Source organism: Homo sapiens, chromosome 1, assembly GCF_000001405.40.
Source record: "Homo sapiens chromosome 1, GRCh38.p14 Primary Assembly".
NCBI lineage: Eukaryota > Metazoa > Chordata > Mammalia > Primates > Hominidae > Homo > Homo sapiens.
In genome coordinates, this window is record NC_000001.11 from 210,907,116 (window position 1) to 210,931,455 (window position 24,340).

Here is a 24,340-nt window from a genome sequence, read left to right on the forward strand (position 1 = left end):
TTAAAGCTATATCCAATCACATGGATGCAAAAAGGCTGAAACTTACTTATATGAGAGGTCCCAGGAACCACTCAGATAACGGTGGTAAATGGGAACTCAGGACCACTTCCAGGGTTATATCTCCAAGTAGTCAGGGTACAATGGCTCTTCTTAAGTGCCAAGAAATTGTACCCAGTGGGGAAGGACTCACTCTACTGGGAAGCATGAAGTTTGGTCCAAAAAGCCAATTGCCAAAGCAAAAGATGGTAGAAATGTGATTTCTCCATATGTAGATGCTTGCCAAGAATAAGCTTTGTCTAGGAACATTGGTATCGGGTGAGATTCTGCATGAGGAGAAGGAAAGGGAGAATGCAGCCCCACCCAGTGTCTTCTGGCCCAAGCTCAAATCAGGATCTAGGAAAAAGGACTGGGAAGAAAAAAAAAAAAGCAAGCTGAATGGAAAAAGCATTCTATTATTGGCAGTATGATGTGATCCTGTTCTGTCCTAGTGCCAGGGCTGAGCACAGGTGGAGGAGGGCATTTCCCCCACATTGGAGCAAACTACAGAGCTTCTGCATGTGTCTATGGGTGACACAGAAGAAGTAACATTAGCACTTTGATGGAAAAAAAGATCCATCCCAGTGGGGGTGGGGGTTCACATAGCAATTGAGAAATGATGTGGTATGTGTCAGTAGTGGCCAGGGAAGGAGAGCAGATGCTACCAGGTGGAAGAACAAGCACCTATGGTCACCCAGAGTTGCCAAGAGACATTACTTTTACCCCTTAAGCCATAAGTTGGGTTCTAATGATCTTTCTGGTCAGCAACAGAAAAAGAAACTGTTTTGTACCTGCTACTGTGACTCTTTTCCATGTCTGTTTCCACATTGGTGTAGCAAAGGAAAATGAGGAGACGCATTTGGATAAATGTCGAGTCATAGAATTTGGTGCAATAAAAAGCCCACCGCAAAGGCAGATGATGGTAGAGACATGGTTCTTAGCACAACGGAGGAAATGAGTGCAAGGTTCTTCTTAATCTCAATCTCTGTGAGTGTCATCACTGGAGTGCTGGTTAATTACCTCAGAAAATGAATGGCTAATTATCCATCTGTTCTCACATCATTTCTAATTGGCTGACACATAGTAGGGTTTTGATAAATATTTGTGGAGGGGAGAGAGAAAGAGAAGCAAAGATGGAAGGCTTAAATCATACATTCAACAAAGTGTTCAGAAAGGCTTTTGCTCAGAAATCCTGCTTCCCTTCCACTTGTTAAGGTGCTGGATTCCATCCAAGGCTGCCAGCGCCTGCATGTGAGCACAGCTCAATATAATTAAACACCTGAGCTTCCCAGGAGGGATGGAATCAAAATGACAGCCAGGGGAGAACCTGTAGCTTCTGCCTGTGCCCCGCCTCTCTGCTTGCAAGACGGGGCTGGATGGGTAGTCCCCAACAGCCTCGATCACTTTGTGTTTTCACTGCAGGGCTGCTGTCAGTATGTTCTCTGTTAATTTGAACATTTGGGCCAGGCTTCATAGGGACTTCTTAGAGTTTACTGTCGTTTCCCCAATGGGTGCATTCTAACTTCCTCACACCAAACCGAGTGATCTTTAAGAAGGGGGCCCAGCCCTCATTTATGTGATCAGGAAGAGGGACACTCTATGCCCACCCCTGCTCTGGCTCAGCCACCCCCATTCCTGCCCAGACCAGTTCTGTTTCCCATCTCTTCTGCAAAGGAGGAACAAAGGATCATCCTCTGACCAGGGTTGGCTCTGCAAGCAGGGCACGTGCAGCTCTGCAGAACTCACTGGTGATTTTTCACATATTAGATTTTGTTTTAAAGCCTTCTGCTCCTTTTGTTCTTCCTACCAAGACTTCTCTCCTTGCCAAGCTTTCTTGCAGTGATGGTGGGTTTTTATCACCACGTAGCTATGATTCAGAGCCAGACCTCTAGCTGATGAGAGCTGAAATTATTCTCTCCCATGCATGCAAAGAGGGTCACAATGGGGAAAAGCGAAAATGGAAACATTTGTTAGTCTGCAAAATCACTGTCAGGTGAGAATTTACAGAGTTGGCCCTAACAGCTTCTCATTCTGCAGTATCCTCATTGGAAGATTTTCTTCTTGATATTTAGTTCTACAAACAAACCCTTATCAAGCTCTTCTTATACAAAGCATTGGGCTGTCCCTATTCTCTGTTACCAGCTTTGCATATAACACCTTCTCCCTCCTTTACACACTCATCCAACACCTACCAAAGTCCCTGGTGGAATTGTGGAACCATTCATCCACATTAATGAACAAACAACACACACAAGGGGTAGTTAAAGAATGGCATTAACATCAACTAGCAGGCCATCTGTGGCCCTGGAGTGAACACTAGGCAGAAACAAAGGTTCTGAAAGGGAAGCATCTTTACCTTCATTTATGCCATTTAATTTGCATCGTTTCCATTTTCAGAAGAAGAAACGGGCCCAGGACTTAAGTACCTTCCTGACTATTAAGTAGTGCAGACAAGATCCATACCCATGCTTGTCTCCTTTTGATCCCAGGGACTGTCTATGCTATACAATTTCAAAAATGGAAGTTTTTCTCCTGACCTAATGGCAGCTGCACATGCAGCTTGACTGGTTTCACTGGCAGTGGAGATGACTTTCATAAATCGTCCTTGCTGTCTAGGTAGTCTCCTTTCTGAGTAGTATCAATTCAAAGAGGGGCTGTCCAGGAGAAGGGGGCAGTTTTTGATGCCAACAAGCTGACCACTATCATGGGCTATAGCATCTTCTGTCTAAACAAACTGAGTCATATAATCCAGAAATCCCTGGTGGAGTCCTCCAAGTAAAAAATCAAGTCTGCATCTCAGTAACTTTTCTAAATTGAAGACTACAGGATTGAGATCTGGATGTTAAAAAATTTTCATCAAATTGGCCTTGCTGCAAAATGTTGCAATCCCTGTCTTTTGACACATGGTAAACAGTCAGAGGTGGTCATCAAGCACCAAAAAAAAATTTCATCAAATTGGCCTTACTGCAAAATGTTGCAATCCCTGTCTTTTGACACATGGTAAACAGTCAGAGGTGGTCGTCAAGCACCAAAAAAAAAAATTTCATCAAATTGGCCTTACTGAAAAATGTTGCAATCCCTGTCTTTTGATGCATAGTAAACAGTCAGAGGTGGTCATCAAGCACCAAAAAAAAAAAAAAAAAATCATCAAATTGGCCTTACTGCAAAATGTTGCAATCCCTGTCTTTTGACACATGGTAAACAGTCAGAGGTGGTCATCAAGCACTAGCCTACGGCAAAAAGGAGTCTGAGGGGCTGACAAGCCAGAAGACACAGAACAGGTGCTCAGCCCCTTTCTAATCAGCACATCTTTCTTTCTGCCCACTATTTGGCAACAAGGGGTTGTGGCTGCTCTTTCTGCAGCATTCAGCTCCCAGGTCCCTGCACCAGTGCCCTGTTCATTGCTGTCAGTGACTAGGGTGGCAACACAGACTGGTGGAAAGACAATGAGATTGGGGGTCAGAGATCTGGGTTTGCATTCTGCCTTCACCATTCACAAGAAGGTTGACCGAAGGCAAGAGAATTGACCTCCCTGAGCCTTAGTTTCCTCACCTATAAACTAAGATAATAACACCTGTGACATAAAAGTGTTGGGAGAGGTGAATAAAGAATGTGTATAATGTGCTCTGCACACAGTATATGTTCAATCATTCATCATTATTAATACTGTTATTACTTACCTATCATTGTAAGTGATGCAAATCCTAACCATTATTCACTGGTCAAGTAAACTCTCTCCTCTTTTATGCCACATTCATGGCCATATTACACAAAAGATCACCATCTTCCTAGAAATCTGAAAGCTTATTCCATGAACACTTAGTGCTTTCCAGCTGCACGTGGTTTTCCTACTTGCATTTGTGTAGATTGTAAGTTAACTGTGGAGAAAATACCATATTTTCTCTCTCTTCCTCCATTCATTCTATATTTATTGAGCCCACTGTGGACCATGGATTGGCTCACACAGCCCCTGACCTAAGCTGCTTGAAGTCTGGTTGTGAAGACATCAGTACACAGATGCACTATGATAAATCTCAGAAAAACCTTAGGTGCCTGGCCCACGGCTCTTCCCAAATAAATGGGGTATATACTGCCTGACCCCTCCTTGACCTCCTCACTGGGGAGACACCCTGCACATGTGCCCATAACAAGCTGTCCTTTCCTTAGTGGAGACTCATCTCATTGACTCATCTGGCTCCCCTACCAGACTCCAATAAATATAGAAGGTCCTTTCCTTCTTTTTTAAAAATATAATTTTAATTCAAATGTCAATTATAATGTGGAGATGTTGCTAACATCCAATCCTTTGTTTCTAGTAATATTTTGCTTCTATGTCTGTTGTCTCCTTTGAAACATGTAACTAACCTGCACAATGTGCACATGTACCCTAAAACTTAAAGTATAATAAAAAAAAAAAATCTGAACTTGCCACATCAGATATATATTTCTTTTATACTAAAAATAAAGTTATTTTCAAAGCAAAAAAAAAAAAAAAGAAGGAAAGGGATTTTTCAAATATTGTGGGTACCTATAAGATCAGAGACAATGACCCTTATCGGTTGGCATTCCATCATTAAAGCTTCTGAACATCTAAAACTTGTTGTAAATTCCTCTGCCCAGTGCAGTAATCCAGCTATGAACAAGGATGATGTCCTCCCACAATACACACAAGATATTTTGTCACCATAATTATAGTTCAAAATAATAGGGATATCTTCCACCCCTCTCCTGCAATCTCTCCACTGCCCTCTTTCCCTTCCTGATTCTTTACTCTGCATCCCCCGACCAAACACACATCACAAAGAACATTTTCTCCTGCCAAATCCCAAAATAATCAACAAGGAAAGCAACAAGACAAAGGGAATGACTTTGTCAGATGAAACTGAAGTCAAAACCCAGTCCAGCCACCTCTCAAACTGTGACCTTAAATAGGTTATTTCATGTCTCTGAACTCAGTTTTCTTATCTGCAAAACAGGGATAAGAAAGCCTATTTACAAGAGTTATTGGGTTGTGAAAACTTCCCAGTATGACCTGGCATGTCTTGGGCACTCAGGGCATGACTATTTGTAGTCTTTTCTCCCTTTCACCAAGGGGATCACTCCTGCTGCTCCTGGTACCATGTCCTGTCCCGTGAAGATCCTGCCAGTCAAGCCTGAACAGTGAAGCCTGGGAGGACTTCCCAACCACACAAAATGACTTCCTACTTTAGGGCTTCCCTTAACTTGCTCTGCAGTCAGGCCAACTTTTTTTTTCTAAAAAGCTTTGTATCTAAGGAACGTCATATCCAGATATACTTATATTTAATGACCTATACTTTAAACACTGTAATGTACCTGATATTTTATGCAAGTTCAATTCTCTTAAAGTAGAGCATACTCAAAGGACTAACAAATAGCTGAGAAACATCATTGTTTGTTGAGTCCTATTAATGTGCTGTAAGAGAGGAAACACAGGGGCAGGGAGAGAGTTATCATTGTTTAAACACTCTGCATGGAAGCACTAGGCTAGGTACTTTTGTACTTCACATCACTTTGTTTTTGCATCCCCAAATGGTACCTCCATTTTCAGTTAAGGAACCTGCCAAAGGTCAAAGCATTAATCATGGGCAGAGGTGGGCCTGAAAGCCAGAACTGACTGGTTCCAAAATGTAGGCTCTTTCCCACATTACAGCAGCCTAGGAACAAAAGAGAAGAGAAAGAGCAAGATGACCCACAGGTCCCACCCTCAGGAAGCTTAGAGCTTTACCAGAGCTGGACCAAATAGCAGGCAAAAAAGATAGCCATGACGTCACAAGAATGTTCACAGAGCAGTATAAAGTGAATCCAAGTGAATAAACCCAAAATAGGGTCCATCAGCCTAAGGGCATGAAGTGACAGAGGGTTATGAACAGGATGGGAGTAACCAGAGTTTTCTGGAGGAGGGGAGAAAGTGATGTGGAAGACAGAAAGTAGTCTAAGGTTGTGTCCAAAATGGGGGCACCCAACTGAAACGCATAGTAGTAGGCAGAACTTTTTTAAAAAACCAGGTTATAGAGAAAAAATCAAGCTGATTGCTGGCTAGAAAAGAACTCTAACGATAAATTGGAAATGAAAGGCTTTTTCTCCTAAAAAATTCTGAACACTGCCCCATTCCCAAAATAAAAATAAACCAAAAATGAAATTAAACAGCATTCTCATGCTCCCGAGAAGGGAGTAGCAATTATTATTTTCTTTTTTTTTTCTAATTACAGAAAAGAAAAAGTTAACTGGGAAGAGCAAGAAACAAACACTGTTATTAACAACAATAAAATCATGACATCTGAAAGTTAAATTTTCAAATTTTTCCAAAAAGTTGTTATACATCATTATCTCATTTAGTTTTCACTTCGGCCAAGTGAGATTGTCAGGAGAGCCTCTTACCTCTAATCCACAAAAATAGAGGATACAGCCCAAACCACAGAGCATATCTAAGATTTGAATCAAAGTCTCTCAACTAGAAATATAAGGACACAGCTCCAACAAGCTCTTCCTGCTGTGGAGGACTAATGTTTCCTAGTATCAACTGACGGAATAAGACTATGGGGAGAAGAAGGAAAGTTGAGGCTGACACTACTGGTCATCCCCCCATATCAGTTTTCCTTGCATATATTACCGTATTTCTACTCAGGCACATGACCACTCAGAATAAATACTATATTTCTATATTTCCAAGCTTCCCTTCCCAGTGTGGCTAGGTTACCAAGTTCCAGCCAATGTGATGTGAACAAAAGTGATAGACAACTTCCTAGTCTTATTCTCAAAAGTAAGGAGTATGACCAGCTTTCCCCTTCCTTTTCTTTCTACTTTCTGGAATAAGAACACATGGCTGGAAAAAAAAGCCATATGGGATCCCAATATGAAAGTCATGTGTTGAATACAGCAGAGAAACCTGGGTCTCTGACAACTGCAGAGTAGCCAGGCCAACCCCAAACTTTTAGAAAATTTTGTTGATGCCACTTTTGGTCTCTGTCCAACAGCAGAACCCATATCCTACTTTTTAAAAAGTGTGGCCAATAGCACTGAAGCACCAAAGACGCCTTCCAAAATGTCAGGGTCTTCTCAATTGCTCTGATTCAGACTAAGAAGTCAGTAAACATTTACTAAGAGCCCACTATGTGTTGGAAGTCTCCTAAGAATATCTTTACAGCCTCCTGGCAATTGTGACCCACATTGTTTTAGAAAAATCAGTATGTTGGTACAGAATGCAAAAAGGGATACTCAGCAAAGGTGAAATGCAAAGAAACAAGAAATCTTTAAATAAGGTCATGAAGGAGGCGGGGAAAAGCCCATATTTGAATGCAAGTGACAATACAAGCTGAAGTGAGGCCACAAAAGATACTGCTGGGCTGCAAGTGGGTAAGGTAATGGAGTCAAGTGTTCAGCAGTGAACGTAAGTACTGTCTCTTCCTCCCAGGCAAGAAGGCAATAGAAGGAAACACTAGTGTGTGCCCAGTTGCTATGTGGGAGTTTCCAGGCCTGAGGAAGAGGTTACCTAAAGCATTAATCAGGATGGTATCTGGCCCAGCAGAAGAACTAGAAGGAGAGAGGAGAACTGGACCAAGGAAATGCTCACAAGAGTCCCTTTAGCTGACGCTCAGCTAGAGTTTTAAGGACCTAAAGTGGGAGGAGGACTGGGAAGAAAGAAATGAATTCAAAGAGACAGGTGCTGTGAAGTGCTGAGGTAGGAGACCAAATATTAGGCTTGGGGGTGGAGAGTGTCTGGAGTAGGAGTACATTGTCTAGACCCCCTACCATTAGCAGAGAGAAAGGAAATAGATGTGGCTGACTTACAATGACAGGATGACAGCAATGACATTATGAGAAGAGAATCAGAAAAGTGCAAAGCCCATATTTAGAAAATGGAAACTGTCTCTTTGCCATCAAATTACCCCCAGAGAGCTCCCCCAAACAGGGTCAGGTCCCTAACCGGAGACCTCCCAGATAAAAGGACTCTTCCCCTGACAATTCTTCTTCCTTTGAGGGATTCCTCAAAAGCCAGGGAAAGGCTCAGCCACAGTGAAGAGTCCATTTCTAGGCCTTTGTTGCTGGTTGCTAGGCTGACAGGGTCTGTCTCTGTCCTTCCTATCCACCTCCATCACCCAGACTGTCAACTCCTTAAGAGCACCAACTACGGTGTTAGTCACCAAATCCTCAGCACTTAGCCTGGCATCTGTTGGGGCATGAGGGGACACTCAGTATGTGCCTGTTGAATGGGGGACATCCTCTCCTAGATGTCACACAGAGGGCTGGCATGGCCTTGTGTTTCTCTTGGCATTACCAATGCATAGGAGAGATTACATGGGAGAAAATGAGTCCACACACCATACCTTATAGTCAGCCCCTGCCGGAGACTACCACAGATCTACACAGGGAAGGCAGGGAAACCAGGGCAGAAGCTGGCTTGCCCCTGATCCAGGCCAAGACCCCAGAATGGAAATTAGACATAAAACCAGGCACTTGGAGACATTGTAGGTCACCTAAATCCGCAGCTAATCACAAAAACTCATTTTAGTCAACTGTTTTCACCCCTTCTTAAAGCAATTTCTTATCAGAACTGAAAACAGGTATGCTAGCTTGAAAATATTTAGTTTTCCTGCTGCACATCATCCTCTGGGGATTTAGCCAAGTTGTAATGAGATGTTCAGAGCAGACAGGGGAGGTCACAGAAAGCTCGGATAATCTATATTATGGCTAATATACTGCAACAGGATAGCCAAGAAACACTATTACTAAGGCATATAAAATTCAATGCAAAGAGGAAAAAATCATAACATACCCAGCACTCCAAAAACCCACTGGCTTTTTGTCTCTTTTTACCCCTTAAGGAGTGCTAGGCCTGACTACCAGAGTGACCTGGTAGTCAGGGAGGGAGACAACACCGAGCCTTTGGTGTAAGTGCAGGCTGTGGTCAATGCTCCCCATTACTGTTGATCCCAAATCTGATGTCAGTCTAATCCCATGAGCTGTACAGGAAGGAGGTCAGTGTATACATGTGTATACACGGGCAAAAAAGGGTAAAAGAGAACTCGGTAAATCTAGTAAGACATCAGCAGTTGTCCTGAACAAACATTGTTTGGAGTATAAGTTTACAAGGATAATTACCAACGCATTACGCCAAGTGCAGTAACTTTCTTGTTAGCACAATTTGGCAGATGTGTATCACATGGAAAGTGGAACAGCTGAAACGGTGACAGGTTGCTGAAAAATGACTTGTTTCCTAAGCACCCAGTCCCCTGAGTCTGCACCATAATCTTGTTCTTAAAATGACTACAACAACAAACAAGCAAAGAAAAAGTTTCCACTGCAGAAACTGCTGGCTTGCTGAAGTTTATGAAGTGAATTTTCAGTGCCTAAGTGTGGAGAGACTGTTGGGGTCTGTGTTGTTAGACCACGCTACCACAGGAGAGAGATCTGGATCTGAATCCTATCTCTCCTGTCTACCAGTCCCAGGTTCTTGGGAAAGTGAGTTAACTTCTGTGAGCCTCCATTTCCTTATGAAATGGAGATAATAATCTCTAACATATACCATTGTCATGAGCAGAAAAAATTGTGTGTAGAGTATTTGGCACAGTGTCTGGCAAATAATAAGTGCTCAAGGAAATGGTGTTAAGTGGACTTGCTTAACTAAACATTGTCCTTGGCTACATAATGCAGAAGTGACTACCCGTGTATTTTACATTTTTAAAAAAAGAAATGGGCTGGGCGCAGTGGCTCACGCATGTAATCCTTGCACTTTGGGAGGCTGAGGCAGGTGGATCACCTGAGGTCAGGAGTTCAAGACCAGCCTGGCCAACATGGTGAAACCCCATCTCCACTAAAAATACAAAAATTAGCCAGGTGTCATGGTGCGTGCCTATAAGCCCAGCTACTTGGGAGGCTAAGGCAGGAGAATCACTTGAACCCAAGAAGCAGAGGTTGCAGTGAGCCTATCATACCACTGCACTGCAGCCTGGGCAACAGAGTGAGACTGTGTCTCAAAAAGAGAGAGAGAAAGAGAAGAGAGAAGAGAGAAATAAAGAGACAGAGAAAGAAAGGGACAGAGAGAGAGAGAGAGAGAGAGAGAAAGAAAGAAAGAAAGAAAGAAAGAAAGAAAGAAAGAAAGAAAGAAAGAAAAGAAAAGAAAGAGAAACACAGAGAGAGAGAGAGAAAGAAAGGGAGACAGAGACACAGAGAGAGAGAAAGAGAGAGAGAGAGAGATCACCTGACTCTCAGAAGGTGGGAAGAGAAAAGAGGCGGTAAATAATTGAGGTTTTCCCTGGAGATTATATCCAAGAAATTGTGCTTTCCATAGACGACTCATTTTGGGGAAAACAAAAAAACAAACAAACAAAAAAACCCCCAACTACTTACCCTTATTATATGCCACCATAACTATTTTCTTTTCTTCTAGGTAAGAAGTTGCAGGGAAATCTCATATTTGAAAGCCTTTTGCGAGTCCATAAAATGGGACCCATTTTCTAAATGATCACTCTTAGCAAATTTTCTGTAATGGATACAATGAGGTATTTCGACTGACAAAGTGGCTCATCTCCCCCTCCCTCTAAGAGAAGGAAATCAAATCATGTCCTGAGCACAGTGCATCTGGTTGTTTATCGGGTGCCCCAAGGCTCACAAAAATGCTGTAAGTAAGCACTGCCTAGGAAATACGTGCAGTTAAGGCTGAAACAGTTCTAGAAGAGAAAAGATCTTAAATCCTTTTCTGTGACATGAGAAAGCACCTCAAATTCTAATTAAGATGAAGCAATTAGCCACCCACAGATCCTTAACACTGCTTCCCATGGCCAGGCAATTATCTCTATTAAAACACATTTTAAAGTAAGGAACAAACCCAAAGCTCCATAGGCACACACTTCCCACAAATCAATTACCCCCTTAGACACATTCCTTAAATACTCTCAGGAAAACTCTGCCTGCAGAGAGGGCTTTTATGAAAGGACTCCATCAGACATGATGAGACTGTTGCAAAAAAGGAGGTACCAAGCAGCAAATGTGACAATTTGAGGTAACAAAATCCACTCACAAAGCGGGATGCTGAATCTCTGGTCAGTTGGACAAAGCAAGGCAAGCTGAAGCCTCAGGTTTCCCTGGTCAGTATAACAATTTGTCAACTCCACCCTACATCAAGCAAAACAGTTTCTACCTACTGAAACAAGAACGCAAGAGTCTTCATGTGTGCTCAGACCTGTCTAAACTGAAATTTCACCAGAGGACCGTCTTCTCACATCTGAATTTGTCATTGAAGTGCCCACAGCATGCACTTGGCAGTTTCACAATGAGTCCAATCCACTCAAACTTGTTTGCTTTTTCCATCCCAGTTAGGTCCCTTCCTACATAAGACTCCCTTTAATGAAGGGAATTCATTGTTGTCTACAGCCAAAAAAAGTTGCTTCTACACTCAGCAATAGAACAGCTATACAACAGTCAGTGGGTAAATCAATCAAATCTAAGTATCTTCCTCAAGAACTAAGGTTGTTTTTCAGTCCAATAAAGTTACTCCAATAACCTATTACTTCTCAGCTGAACAAGGGCCTTTCTTCCCTCTGTGTCTGTGGATTTGTTTTTGAGTTGGAAAATTTCCCATCAAGCAAGACATCAAAAATGTTTATCTAGACCAGCACCGTCCAAATGATTAAATTTAAATTTTTCCTAGGAGCTACTTTTAAAAGGAAAATGAAACAGATTAAATTAATTCTAAGAGAATATTTTACTTAACCGATACATCAGAAATATTACCATTTCAATATATAATCAATATAAAATACAATTAATGAGATGTTTTGCATTCATTTTTCATACATTCTTTTTCTCATACTACATTAGACTATATGCCAAGCTACAGCTATGTTCAAATTGACATGTAGGACATGTAGCATGACGGCTATAGTTAATAATACTGTAATGCCTACAGGAAATTTGCTGAGAGAGCAGATTTCAAGTGCTTTCACCAAAAAAAAGGTAATGATGTAAAGGAATGGATATGTTAATTTGCTTTGCTGTCATAATCATTTCACTATATCAAAATCTCATTTCATACTTTAAATATATACAATTTTTATTAAAAAGAAAAAAATTGACATGAAAAGACTTCCATAATTCACTGTTCTATGAGTAGTTTACTAAAGTGCGTATGCAGCAAGATCTCATTTTAAGTTTATAAAAATCTATATGTATTCAGATATGCAAAGAAAATAGTCTGTAAGAGAAGACACCAACAGTATTAGTAGTTATCTCTGAAAAGCAGAATTATGGATAGTCTTTACTTTCTACTTTGCACTCTTTTGTATTTTCTAAATTTTTTTGCAGTAAGCATATACTGCTTTAATTATCAGGGTAACTGTAAGCCTAGTCTTAAAAAAACTCTTCCTTGTTTTAAGTTATTATTCTCCTGATCCTGCTGGCACTGTAGCCATTTCCCTGTTTCCAGCTAACAGAAGAGATGGCCAACCCCACCCCAGCACTGTCATACTTACAGCCAATCATCATGATGGCCACTGCAAAGATCTTCTCAATGTCTGTGGATGGGGCGATGTTCCCAAAGCCCACACTGGTGAGGCTGGTCATTGTGAAATACAACGAGGAGATGTAGACAGAATTCTTGCTGGGACCACCTTCCCACTTCCCTGAGCCAGACCCATTAAACTGGTAAGGGGTGCCAATGTCCATCGCTAGTTGGTACAGCCAGCTGTTGTTGCGGATTGTCTTGGTGTCCTCGTCAAAGATCTCATAGTCCCCAATGCTGTACCAGATGCAGGCCATCCAGTGTGCAGCCAGCCCAAACACACACACCAGCAGGACCAGCACAGCAGCTCCATATTCAATGTAGTGGTCCAGCTTACGGGCCACTCGCCCAAGACGGAGCAGCCGGACAACTTTTAGAGAGCTGAACAGGCTGCTGATGCCCTGGGAGAAGAGGAACACAGCGTCAGGGCCAAAGAACCAAAGATACTACTCTCGTCCCCTCCGCCCCACTTGGGCCATTATTTTAAGCATAGTGTATTTCCATGAGATGCAATTTTATGCAACCCTTAAAAAAAGTAAAATTAGAATTTTATTCCAAGATGTATGGAATGGAAATTCCCATTAGCATTTTCTACTTCCATTAAAAAGCAAATAAGCAAGCACACAAAACAAATATAATTAGAATTATATTGTACATAAGTAAACAAATACCTGTGGGCATCTTTCCATATCATTACTTACTTTAAAAAATTTTAAGGGTTGCATAATATTTCATCTCATGGAAATGAGATATTGCATAATATGAAAAATTTTAAGGGTTGCATAACATTTATTTCATATTGCATAACATTTCATCCAAATTATATTGTGCATAAGTATGCAAACATATATGTGCTGAAAATGGTTGGGAAATACACCAAAATATTAATAGAGGTTATTGCTGCATTAGCAAGTTATGAAATTACAGGCAATTTTATATTTTGTAAATATTTTTGTTATATTTACTTAATTTCTATATTACTTTTATAATTAAAAAAATAAGTTTATAAATTTAAAAGCAAATACAGTTTTTAAAAAGCTAAAAATAAATTAAGAAATAGCTGAGAAGAATAAAGAAATGAGACTCTGGTTCCTCAGAAACATTACAAATTCTTAGAAGGCCATATCACTTCTGTCAGGCCAGGGATTATATCATCAGACACCACCTACTTAAATACAATCAGTCAAGGAACCTAAAAGCTAGAGGGAAGCTTCTGATTTCACCTGGTCAAGCCTCTTCCCTTCTGGCTGGCATCCACTGATCACACCAGGCCAGGTCTATTCTCCAAATAGTAGTTATCTAGGGAACAGCATTGTGGTAGTGAAAAAAACACTCGAGTACAAACCTGGAAAATGGGGTCTGAGACAAACATAAACCACTAACTTGCTGTGAATTTGGATAATTCAGTTACCCCTTGGTTCCCTTCTCTAGACAATGAGAGGTGGATTGAGGATCTCTAAGTCTTCTCCATACACTAACATACTCTTATCACCAAAGATAGCTGAAACATATTGCAGAAGCCACATCATTTAAAACCCCAAACCTAAGGTGTTCTAAGGTGATTCCAAGATGTATGCAAGGGAAGTTTCCGTTAGCTTTTTTCTACTTCCATTACAAAGCAAATAAACAAGCAAATAAAACAGACATTTCTTCGAATCAAGACTTTGTCCTCCCTTATATAGCAAAAATCCAAGAAAAGATGATGTCCTTCACCAAGTAGATTGAATTACTTTTCATTATTTTAAACACTAACAGTTTCAATGTCACTGCTATTCTCTCTTGTCCACTATCCCTTTAATAACAACACTCCAAGGGTCAAGTTATGTCACAGACAGAAGGAAAATGTACACAAGCTTTTTGATGAACCTATGCCAGAGATCCACCAAGGCTTTTCCTCTTTCTGGATACACAGTTAAACTATATTTTGCAGCTTCTTCCATCTGGGTGGTTCCTGAGGTCTAGTTCTTGCCAACGGAATGTGAGGTGAAATATGTCACTTCCAGGCCACGGCAGTTAATAATAAGTGTGTTTTCTCTACATGCTTCTCCTCCCCAGCACATCTTCCAGGTGAGTCTAGCATGACAGTGAGGCCTCGCATTGAAGGTGGACCCATAGCATGAAAAGAGCCTGGGTCCCGGAAGGACTATGTGGAACACCCCTTTCCCCAAAATCAATTTGAATTGTATTGTGATGTGAATGAGAAAGAAACCTCTGAAATAAGCCACTGCAACTTTGGGGAACATTTGTTACAGTAGCTAGTATTTGCCTTCCCTGACAAATACGGAGCCCCTCTGTCATGTGAACACGTATAAACCATACGTAGCATAGCCTTGTCAATATAGACCATACATCAGGTTGCCACACAAATTACTTTTGTTGAGGTGAGGATGGAAGAGGTGAGATTTATTGCCCTTTAAAAAAAAAACTGACGGGCCAGGCGCGGTGGCTCATGCCTGTAATCCCAGCACTTTGGGAGGCCGAGGCGGGCAGATCACGAGGTAAGGAGATCGAGACCATCCTGGCTAACATGGTGAAACCCTGTCTCCACTAAAAATACAAAAAACTTAGCCAGGCGTGGTGGCAGGCGCCTGTGGTCCCAGCTACTTGGGAGGCTGAAGCAGGAGAATGGCGTGAACCTGGGAGGCAGAGCTTGCATGGTGAGCTGAGATCGTGCCACTGCACTCCAGCCTGGGCAACAGAGCGAGACTCCGTCTCAAAAAAAAAAAAAAAAAAAAAAAAAAAAAAAAAAAAAACCTGACAAGTTTGCAGCCATAAAACGTTCAACAGAAATGATAATTTCTTGTCCAATATATACCAGCAAATGGCAAGATGCAAAAATAAGAATAGATTTTTGTAGGCCAAGGGCCTACATCTCCAGGGTCAGTCTCATCCAAACCATTTTTAACAAACCTTACTCTTGGCATGCCCAGTATTCCTCCCCTGAGTCTCTTTTTCCCTACCTGTGTTTTTCTCAAAAACCCACTATGTAAAAAGGGCTGAGAAAATCCCTTATACTAAGGTACAAAAGACTAATGAGGGTAAATGGATATCCTCTCTTCATAGGCATTTACATTCTAACAGAGGAGAAAACCTTGGGAAACCAACTTCCAACAGTGGAATTAAAAGTACCCATAGCCTGCATGGAGGAGATATTTTGGGAGGCAAAGGAGTGTTTTTGATGACTCAGAAATCAAACACCACATAAGCAGCCACCTACTCTCCACCTCCTCATAAGGAGGTCCCTGAAATCATCTTTCAAACAGTTCTACTCTGAAGCAGAACTTATTGCCCAGGGCAAAACTGCCTTGCCATTTTTTCCTTACTTGTATTCAGTTCAAAGCAACATTTATGTAGAACCTAGTATGTACTCTTTGTGCTAATGCTATAGAGAAGAGATTAAAACGACAGTGTCTTTTTCTTCTTGTTCACTATTGTATCTCCACCACCTGGAATATGGAATAGGGAGAAAAAGGAGGAAGAATCAAAAGCATAATAATAGTGAGAGATACAAGACATGATAACTGAAAATATATTTCTACCTAATAATTGCAGAATTGGAGAGCTAAGAGGGAGCATAGAATTCACCTAGGCCAATTCCTCTGAGTTCAGCAATGTCTTCTAGACCACCTTTAAGAAATGGTCATCCAGCCTCTCCTCGACCACTCCCACTCCTACTGCCTCTGAAGAGCAGACTTCTGTGGCAGTCATTCATAGAGATAAACTGCCATTGGGGGTCCCATCATCTTTCTTACCTCCCTCTTACTTTGTCCTTTCTCCATCCTTCCTCAGTGGCCACCACAATCCATGCAATTACTACCCAAAAGCTATGCTATCCTCTAGCCATACACTCAAATTGTTGCAAGCATCCCACATGGTGGAGGCACAACTGCACGACTGTGCCTGCTCAGACTGGTCCTTCAGTCCAGAATGCTCAGCATTCCTGTTTTGCATACTAGTGATTCTTCAGGCTTGTCACCAACTCCAACCAAGCACCAACTCCTCCATGTGTCCATAAGTATTCTATATCCATTATCACTTGAACACATTGCCTTGCATTAATTTCCTGCACCTATTTCCCCAACTACATCAGGAACTATACCTTTCTGAAGGCAGAGGCCACTTGTTATTCATTTTAGAAGCCCCATATATTCAACATGTATTGTGTTGAACAATGTCCCCACAAAAATCCATGTCCTTCCTAGAACCTCAGAATGTGACCTCATTTGGAAATAGAATAATTGCAGGTATAGTTAGTTAAGATGAGGTCATACTGGAATAGGGTAGATCTTTAATCCAGTATTACTGGTGTCCTTATAAGAAGAGAAGAGATGGATACAGATGGAAAATATTATGTAACAGATGCAGATACAGGGACTGGAGTGATACAAATACAGATTAGAGGGATGTATCTTCAAGTTAAGGAATGCCAAAAATTGCCAGCATCACTAGAGGCTAAGAGAAAGGCATGCAATAGATTCTCTCCATGGCCCTGCCAACACCTTGATTTTAGACTTCTAACCTCCAGAACTGTGAGAGAATAAATTTCTGTCATATTAAGCCACCTAGTTTGTAGTAACATGCTACATCAGCCCTAGGGAATGAATACACCCACACAAGGTCTAGAGCACAGTGCCTTTGCAGAAAGGGTCTTGAATATTTTCTAAACTAAATTGAAGTTTGAATTATTATAAAATTCTTTCTTGTTATAAAGAGCCTCTGAAACAATAAAAAACAAGCATTTTTTCATTGTGTTATTTATCTATGTGTACATTGATACTCTATTACATGGTTGTTGTGTAAGTTCTCTTTGAATGCATTAGCAGCTGGAATTCTAGTTGTCTAATGCATTTTAAGCTATTAATTTGAGATTTTTTTTCCTTACTTGCCTGAGTTCAGTAGATGAGATAAATAAAAAAGAATACTCCAAACATTTTTATTTTATTTTAGTACACTAAAAACATGAGACTTCTTGCATCAGAAAACATACCTCATTCCTTGGCTGTCAGAGCTTCTGCACACTGTGGAACCAGGGACTGGCCTACCAGGCACATATCACCACCAGCAATGCTGTCACCATGACCAGTGGAACCACTGTATGTGATGTGCAATTCCAGGGTTGAGAACCAGCCTGTCAGGCAGCCCCAACCCCCAGAAAATCCACATCACTGCTTCCACTAACAACTGTAGTCTAGGCCACTGAGGCACTCACAGATACCAATGACATTGACTATAGCAAAAAAAAAAAAAAAATTTGGAGACTACACTCCTGCACTCACCCAGATTAAAGCCAAAGTACCCTACCCAACTGATGCTATAGGACATACTTACAGAAAAGAGTCTTTCCCTACAAAAGCCACTCCATAAAACTGAAAGAGGTAACAATTCTACCAGATGCACAGATATCAATGTAGGAACAAAGGAAACATGAAAAAGCAAGAATGCATGACACCTCTAAAGGAACACAATAATTCTCCAGTAACAGACCCAAAAGTAAAGGAAATCTATAAAATGTCTAAAAAGGAATTCAAAACAACGCTCTTAAAGAAACTCAGTGAGGATTGACTGGAATTAAGATGGCAGATAGGAGGCAGGACTAGCTTGCAGCTCCCACTTGGATGGACAGAGCAGCATGTGGAGACTCATGCTGTGAACTTTTGCTCCAAGAACTACTGCAGGAATATATCAGGAAAGCCAAGAGAATCCACAGACCCTTTGAAGGAACTTGATCACTGCTACAGGCTCCTTGATATGCCAAAAACCTGTGAGTCGGCTTGCTTTCTCAGTAGGGAGGCTCACGGCCTCAGGCAGGTTCTTAGCCCTGGTCACCTGCTGCCTGGAAATAGACTCGGTGCTGTTGCGGGGGACATGGTGAGAGTGAGACCAGACTTTAGGACAGAGGGCTGCGTGGGAGCAGGGTGAAGCCTGTGACTGCCAGCTTTCCCCTACTTCCCTGGTGACCTGTATGACTCAGCACAGGCAGCCATCATCCCCACTGGGAATATAACTCCACTGGACTGGGAACCACACTCCCAACTCCCACAGCAACTGCAGCAAGCCCCACACAAAGAAAGACTGAACTCAGACATGCCTATCCCTGTCCCAAGCTGGTGGTCTTTCTCTACCAGCCCTGGTAACCAAAGGTCATAATCTCTTGGGAGCCTATTGCACTGCCCACCACCTGAGAAACCTGAATACTTAACCAGGTGTCCCTAGTGCAAGTTTCTATCCTCCCTAAAGGACCACAGCTGATGCACTCTTGAAAGTGCCATCTCCTGGCTGGAGGCCAACCAACACAAAAACAGCACACTCAATGAAAACACAACCTCACACCTGTAATCCCAACACTTTGGGAGGCCGAGGTGGGCGGATCACCTGAGGTCAGGAGTTCGAGACCAGCCTGGCCAACATGGTGAAACCCCATCTCTACTAAAAATACAAAATATTAGCCAGTCATGGTGGCAGGTGCCTGTAATGCTGGCTACTCAGGAGGCTGAGGCAGGAGAATCACTTGAATCCAGGAGGTGGAGGTTGCAGTGAGCCAAGATGGCAGCACCATTGCCCTCCAGCCTGGACAACAAGAGCAAAACTCCATCTAAACACACACACACACACACACACAAAACCAAGGACCTTCCGAGTCCACTCCACTCCCCTGCTACCTCCACTGGAGCAGGCACTGGTATCCATGGCTGCAAGACCTGAAGATGGATCACATCACAGGACTCTTTGCCGACACTCCCCAGTATGATCCGGAGCCTCGTAGCTCCACTGGGTGGCCAGACCCAGAAGAGCAAAAACAATCCCTGCAGTTTGGCTCTCAGGAAGCTCCATTCCTAGGGGAAGGGGGAGAACACTCTATCAAGGGAGCACCCTGTGGGACAAAAGAATCTGAACAATAGCCCTTGAATCCCAGAACTTCCCTCTGATATAGTAAACCCAAATGAGAAGGAACCAGAAAAACAATTCTGGTAATATGACAAAACAAGCTTCTTTAACCCCCGCAAAAGATCATACCAGCTCACCAGCAACGGATCCAAACCGAGACAAAACCTATGAAACGCCAGAAAAAGAATTCGGGAGGTTGATTATTAAGCTAATCAAGAAGGCACCAGAGAAAGGTGAAGTCCAACTTAAAGAAATCAAAAACATGATACAAGATATGAAGGGAGAATTCTTCAGTGAAATAGATAGCATAAATTAAAAAACAATCACAACTTCTGGAAATGAAAGACACACTTAGAGAAATGCAAAATGCACTGGAAAGTCTCAGGACAGAATTGAACAAGCAGGAGAAAGAACTTCAGAGCTTGAAGACAAGGCTTTCAAATTAACCCAATCCAACAAAAACAAAGAAAAAAGAATTTTAAAAAATGAACAAAGCCTCCAAGAAATTTGGGTTTATGTTAAACATCCAAACCTAAGAATAATTGGTATTCCTGGGGAAGAAGATAAATCTGGAAGTTTGGAAAACATATTTGAGGGAATAATCAAGAAAAACTTCCCCAGCCTTGCTAGAGATCTAGACATCCAAATAAAAGAAGCTCAAAAAACACCAAGAGGAGTCATTGGGAAAAGGTCATCGTCTAGGCACACAGTCATCTAAAGCCAAGACAAAGGAAAGAATCTTAAGACCTGTGAGGCAAAAGCATCAGGTAACCTATAAAGGAAAATCTATCAGATTAACAGCAGATTTCTCAGCAGAAACCCTACAAGCTAGAATGAACTAGGGTCCTATTTTTAGCCTCCTTAAACAAAACAATTAGCAGCCCAAAATTTTGTATCCAGCAAAACCAAACTTCATAAATGAAGGAAAGATGCAATCTTTTCCAGACAAACAAATGCTGAGAGAATTCACCACAACCAAGCCATCACTACAAGAACTGCTAAAAGGACCTCTAAATCTTGAAACAAATCCTTGAAGTACACCAAAATGGAACCTCCTTAAAGCATAAATCTCACAGGACATATATAACAGTAACACAATGAAAAAAAAGATATTCAGGCAACAAATACATGATGAATAGAATAATACCTCAAATATCAATACTAACATTGAATGTAAATGGCCTAAAGGCTCCACTTAAAATATATAGAATGGCAGAATGGATAAGAATTCACCAACCAAGTTTCTGATGTCTTCAGGAGACTCACCTAACACACAGGGCCTCACATAAACTTAAGGTAAAGGGGTGGAAAAAGATATTCTATGAAAATGGACAACAAAAATGAGCAGGAGTGGCTATTCTTATATCAGACAAAACAAACTTTAAAGAAACAGCAGCTAAAAAAAGACAAAGGGGGCACCACATAATGATAAAAGGCCTTGTCCAACAGGAAAATATGACAATTCTAAATATATATGCACCTAAAACTGGATCTCCCAAATTTATAAAACAATTACTACTAGACCTAAGAAATGAGATAGATGGCAACACAATAATAGTGGGGGACTTTAATACTCCACAGACAACACTAGATAGGTCATCAAGACAGAAAGTCAACAAAGAAACAAACTTAAACTATATGCTACCACAAATAAACTTAACAGATATTTACAGAATATTCTACTCAACAACTGCAGAATACACATTCAGCACACGGAACATCAGCACATGGAACATTCTCCAAGATAGACCATATGATAGGCCACAAAACAGGCCTCAGTAAAATTAAGAAAATCTAAATTACATAAAGTACTCTCTTAAACCACAGTGGAATAAAACTGGAAATGGACTCCAAAAGGAACCCTCAAAACAATCCAAATACATGGAAATTAAATAACCTACTCCAGAATGATCATTGGGTCAACAATGAAATCCAGAAGGAAATTTAAAAATTCTTTGAACCAAACAACAATAGTGAAACAACCTATCAAAACCTCTGGAATACAGCAAAAGCAGTGTTAAGAGGAAAGTTCATAGCCTTAAGTGTCTACGTCAAAAAGTCTGAAAGAGCACAAATAGACACCTTACAGAACTGCATAAACAAGAACAATTCAAACCCAAACCCAGCAGAAGAAAAGAAATAACAAAGATAGAGCAGAACTAAATGAAACAAAAGAAAAAAGATGAAAAGAAAAGATGGTTCTTTGAAAAGATAGATAAAATTGATAGACCATTAACAAGATTAACCAAAAAAGAAAAGATCCAAATAAACTCAATTACAAACGAAACGAGAGATACTACAACTAATGCCACAGAAATACAAAAGATTATTCAAGGCTACAATGAAAACCTTTATGTGCATAAACTAGAACACCTAGAGGAGATGAATAAATTCCTGGAAATATGCAACCCTCCTAGATTTAACCAGGAAGATACAGAATCTCTGAAGAGATCAATAACAAGTAGCGAGATTGAAATAATTTAAAAATTTCTGACAAGAAAAAGTCAAGGGCCAGATGGATCCACAGTTGAATTCTATCAGATATTCAGAGAAGAATTGGTATCAATCTACTGACACCATTCCAAAAGACAGAGAAAGAGGGAATCCTCCGTAAATCATTCTGTGAAGCCAGTATAACCCTACTACCAAAATCAGGGAAGGACATGACCAAAAAAGAAAACTACAGGCCAATATCCCTGATGAACATAGATTAAAAAATCCTTAACAAAATACTAGCAAACTGAATCCAACAGCATATTAAAAAGATAAACCACCATGATCAAGTGGGTTTCATACCAGGGATGCAGGGATGGTTTAACATACACAAGTCAATAAATGTGATACACCACATAAACAGAATTAAAAACAAAAATCACATGATTATCTCAATAGACACAGAAAAAGCATCTGACAAAATTCAGCATCGCTTTATGATTAAAACTCTCAGCAAAATCTGCAGAGAAGGAACACACCTTAAGGTAATAAAAGCCATCTATGACAAACCCACAGCCAACATCACACAGAACAGGGAAAAGTTGAACGCATTCCCTCATGAGAACTGGAACAAGACAAGGTTGCCCACTTTCGCCACTTCTATTCAACACAGTACTGGAAGTCCTAGCCACAGCAATCAGACAAGAGAGAAATCAAGGGCATCCGAATCAATACAGAGGGACTCAAACTGTCACTGTTTGCTGATGATATAATTGTTTACCTAGAAAACCCTAAAGACTCATCCAAAAAGCTCCTAGAACTGATAAAAGAATTCAGCAAAGTTTCCAGATACAAAATTAATGTACACAAATCAGTAGCTCTTTTATTCACCAACAGCAACCAAGCTGAGAATTAAATCAAGAACTGAATCCCTTTCACAATAGCTGCAAAAAAATAAAGTAAAATACATAGGAATATACCTAACCAAGGAGGTGAAAGTCCTCTACAATGAAAACTACAAAACACTGCTGAAAGAAATCATAGACCACACAAACAAATGGAAACACAGCCCATGCTCATGGATGGGTAGAACCAATATCATGAAAATGACCACGCTGTCAAAAACAATCTACAAAGTCAATGCAATTCCCATCAAAATACCACCATCATTCTTCACAGAACTAGAAAAAACAATCCTAAAATTCTTATGGAATCAAGAGAGAGCCCACATAGCCAAAGCAAGACTAAGCAAAAAGAACAAATCTGGAGGCATCAGATTAATTACCTAACTGCAAACTATATTATAAGGCCATCGTCACCAAAACAGCATAGTACTGGTATAAAAATAAGCACATAGACCAATGGAATAGAATAAGGAACCCAGAAATAAACCCAAATACTTACAGCCAACTGATTTTTGACATAGCAAACAAAAAATAAAGTGGGGAAAAGACACTGATTCAACAAATGGTGCTGGGATAACTGGCAAGCCACATGTAGAAGAATAAAACAGAATCCTCATCTCTCACCTTATACAAAAATCAACTCAAGATGGATTAAAGACTTAAATCTAAGACCCAAAACCATAAAGAGTCTAGAAGATAACATTGGAAAAAACCCTTCTAGACATTGACTTAGGCAAAGACTTCATGACCAAGAACCCAAAAGCAAATGCAATAAAAACAAAGATAAATAGGTGGGACTTAATTAAACTAAAAAGCTTCTGCACAGCAAAAGAAATAAGCAGCAGAGTTAATAGACAACCCACAGAGTGGGAGAAAATCTTCACAATCTATACATCTGACAGAGGACTAATATCCAGAATCAACAAAGAACTCAAATCAGCAAGAAAAAACAAACAATCCCATCAAAAAGTGGGCTAAGGACATGAATAGACAATTCTCAAAAGAAAATATACAAATGGCCAACAAGCATATGGAAAAATGCTAAACATTACTAATTATCAGGGAAACCACAATGTGTACTTCACTCCTACAAGAATGGCCATAATCAAAAAGTCAAAAATAATAGATATTGGCAGGGGTACAGTGAAAAGGGAACACTTTTACACTGTTGGTGAGACTGTAAACTAGTACAACCAGTATGGAAAACAGTGTGGAGACTTCTTAAAGAACTAAAAGTAGATCTACCATTTGATCCAGCAATCCCACTACTAGGTATCTACCCAGAGGAAAAGAAGTCATTATACGAAAAAGATACTTGCACACACATATTTATTGCAGCACAATTTGCAATTGCAAAAATATGGAACCAGCCCAAATGTGCGTCAATCAACAAGTGGATAAAGAAAATGTGGTGAATATATATACCGTGGAATACTACTCAGCTATAAAAAAGAATAAAATACTGGCATTCACAGCAACCTGGATGGAATTGGAGACTATTATTCTAAATGAAGTTACTCAAGAATGGACAAACAAACATTGTATGTTCTCACTCACATGTGGG

At 40.7% G+C, this 24,340-nt stretch overlaps 1 protein-coding gene across 5 annotated transcripts in view; it reads right to left on the reverse strand.

The window, feature by feature from the left end:
• The window catches only part of KCNH1 (potassium voltage-gated channel subfamily H member 1), a 455,835-nt gene that overhangs the window by 228,802 nt on the left and 202,693 nt on the right, over positions 1 to 24,340 (reverse strand). For 3 of the 5 annotated variants that reach the window (XM_047419823.1, NM_002238.4, NM_172362.3), the window contains exon 7: positions 12,525 to 12,954. The exons of 1 other annotated variant lie outside the window; for it this stretch is intronic. In XM_047419823.1, coding sequence (XP_047275779.1) covers positions 12,525 to 12,954 — 430 coding nt within the window. Of the gene's footprint in view, positions 1 to 12,524; positions 12,955 to 13,776; positions 14,118 to 24,340 lie in introns of those variants that run through there. One more of the 5 variants, XM_017001246.2, reaches the window with a different exon arrangement.